Source organism: Homo sapiens, chromosome 7 (assembly GCF_000001405.40).
Source record: "Homo sapiens chromosome 7, GRCh38.p14 Primary Assembly".
NCBI lineage: Eukaryota > Metazoa > Chordata > Mammalia > Primates > Hominidae > Homo > Homo sapiens.
The window spans coordinates 127,295,119-127,298,560 of NC_000007.14; the positions used below are offsets into that span (position 1 = coordinate 127,295,119).

Genomic DNA, 3,442 nt, shown 5'->3' on the forward strand with positions numbered 1-3,442 from the left:
CCCTGCGAGATACTATACAAGATGACCATTTCCAAGACACAGTCATCAGATTGTCCAAGACCAACAGGAAAGAAAAAAATCTTAAAGGTAGAGGAAAGGAGCCAGTCACTTAAAAAGAAAACTCCATCAGGTTAACAGTGGACCTTTCAGCAGAAACCTTACAAGCCAGAAGAGACTGGGAGCCTATTTTCAGTGTCCTTAAAGAGAAGAACTTCCAACCAAGAATTTCATATCCCCCCAAACTAAGCTTTATAAACAAGGGAGAAATAAAATCCTTTTCAAACAAGCAAATGGTAAGGAAATGTTTTACCACTAGGCCTGCCTTACATAAGGTCCTTAAGGAAGTGCTAAATATAGCAACAAAAGAAAGATTTCTGCCATCAAAAAAACACACACACACACACACATACACACTTGCAGATGTCGGGGACGGGGGCCGGTGTAGTCTCTGTGCCTCGTTCTCCCTAGCACCACCCGGACATCGCTCAGGCTGCCGGCACCGTGAAGATCTGGACTTCAGAGCATGTCTTTGACCACTCATGGGAAACTGTTACAACAGCTGCAATGCAGAAATACCCAAACCCTATGAACCAACTGTGGTTGGAGTTGATGTGTTGGACAGACATGTAGATCCCTCTGGAAAGTTGCACAGCCACAGACTTCTCAGCACAGAGTGGGGACTACCTTCCATTGTGAAGTCTCTTATTGGTGCAGCAAGAATGAAAACATATGTGCAAGAACATTCTGTAGTTGATCCTGTAGAGAAAACAATGAAACTTAAATCTACTAATATTTCATTTACAGATATGGTTTCAGCAGATGAGAGACTTATATACAAACCACGTCCTCGGGACCCAGAAAAAACTATTTTGACTCAAGAAGCCATAATCACCATGAAAGGAGTTAGCCTCAGCAGTTACTTTGAAGAACTGATGGCAAGTATGATATCCTCAAACACTAGTAAAGGCTGAGAAGCAATAGAATGGGTAATACATAAATTAAATGCTGAGATTGAAGAACTGACAGCCTCAGCAAGAGGAAGCATAAGGACTCCAATGGCAGCAGCAGCTTTTGCAGACAAGTGATCATAAAAGTTGATAGACAACGTTGGGTAGCCCAGGTCTCTCCAAGCTGACTACATATTTATTTGTTATTTAAAAAATACAACTATATTTTAGGTAGTTTTTTAAATAAACTGGCATAAGGCTATGTGATTTTTGATCAAAGTGGATGCAGGGCCTCTAAATAAAAGGGATCATCTGAACTTAATGTTGTTTGAAATTACTATCTGATGTTGAGGGTTCCAGTCTTTCTGTGAAAATTCAACAAGAACTCCTTGGAAATTGGTATTAATGTTGAATCTCCTTAAGGTAGAATTTTCAAGCTTTTCATATATGGGAACTCCACCTGACTTTGGACCAACCCCAGAACAGAGCAGAGCCACCTCCTATAGATGCCCATTGCCCTGCTGCTGTACACTTCAACAGCTTGCACAAGGGAACTCACTTAAAAGGAGAAATTGTGTAGTTTTAAAATATATTTTGTGTAAAATAACTTGCTGTGCTATAAACCACCATTCAAAACCAGTGTTTTGATTTGGTACTTAAATATTTTTGGAGTGAAAATTATCACTAAAGTAACATGACTCCAACAAAAGTATGGTTTCATTAAAGAATACTGTATTGATTTGCCAAAGTTTTGTATCTTAGTAAAGGTATTAACTTCCTTGGATTTGTACTTTGTGATTTTGTATGCTGTACCATGGGCTGGTTATGTTTACTGAAAAAAATAAAGTCATTACCTGGGTTTTGCAGCGCCCTAACTTAAACAGAAGAACAGCTATTCACTTCTTTTAGCATTTCACATTTGCCTAACTTAAAAATTTTCATGTGTCAAAATCACGGTTTTGTAATTGCTAAGGTATGATATGTCAGATTATTTTAATATAATTACTTTTTGAAGTAATTGTGATCACAAAACATCTTTTTTACATGAAGGAGCTGTATATCATTTGAAATTACTCAGCTGATGTCTTGCTCTGAAGCATAAACCCCAGGTACTTAATGTTTTTAATAATACAGGGCCACTGCAGGATTTGGGGGCAGTGGGGAAGAACGAGGATAATGGTGGGGGGGAGGCTTGGCCTGAAACTAACTACTAAGTGGATTGCACTGCAGCTTTATTTATGGGGATTCCTTATTTGAGATGTCAGAGGGCAACTTCAAATTGAAAAACAATTCAGTAAACGTACTTTGTTTACATTTTGTAGCAGGAAATTATCAACCACTAAATAATAGCTTTGACATTTGCAATTGTTGCATAGAGAGTATTTTCGCTAGAAGATGATTAGCTCTTGCCTTTATTTTACTGTGCTTAATGTGATAAACTTCTAGTCATGTTTCCTATCAAAGAGACCAGTTAATATATGTATGTACACCACAGAAATAGTATAACAAACTATTTTTAAATTATCATTTTTCTACATAAAAATTGTTTAGCTTAAGAATTCTTAGGACATTTGTAAAAGCAGGTTAAATTTAATAAGGTTTCTGATTCTTTTTTGTAACCAGAGATAGTTTTTACAAGTGAAATAACATTTCAGCTAAATAAAACATCACTAAATAATTGATATTTGATGAAAATCTGCCTTGTATAATTTCTGCAAATTACAGTTGTTCTGAAAAAGGTGTAAGGCCCTAATGATAAGAGATTTTTAAACAAATCCATATCCTTTGATTTGTTTAAACTCTGATCTAATGATAAAATTCTATACATTTTCATTTTCCAGTGTAGTTAGTTACCTTTTTTGAAATAGCTGGTAATTGATAGCTTTTACCTGTTAAACATAAATACACAGCCAGCAAATGTATTTAAGAGGACTAAACTGGAATAAGTGTTCATAAATGAAACCCTTGGACTATTTAATACTAAAGTTGAAATGTAGATTCTGAAAAACTTTTGTTAATAAAAACTGTCTTTTAAGTGAAAAAGAAAAACACACTTAAGTACATAGCCCACTGACACTAGCAAGCAACTACACAATCAAGTTTATGTAACTATCAGCCAACAACATAATGATAGGATAAAATCCTCATATATCAGTAGTAACCTTGAATGTAAACAGGCTAAATGCCCCATTTAAAAGATGTAGAGTAGCAAGTTGGATAAGGAAGGAAGATCCAACTGTCTGCTGTCTTCAAGAGACCCATCTCACACATAACACCCATAGGCTCAAAGCAAAGGGATGGAGAAAGATCTATTATGCAAATAGAAAACAAAAAAAGAGCAGGGGTTGCTATTCTTCTATCAGATCAAAAAGACCTTAAACCAGCAATGATCAAAAAGGACAAAGAAGGACATTATATAATGATAAAGGGTCCTACACAAAGACTCAACTATCCTAAATATACATGCACCCAACACTGGAGCACCCAGATTCATA

The 3,442-nt window shown here is 36.1% G+C and overlaps 1 pseudogene; it reads left to right on the forward strand.

The window, feature by feature from the left end:
- On the forward strand, positions 447-1,382 carry PRELID3BP10 (PRELI domain containing 3B pseudogene 10; annotated as a pseudogene).
- Positions 1,383-3,442: the final 2,060 nt, after the last annotated feature.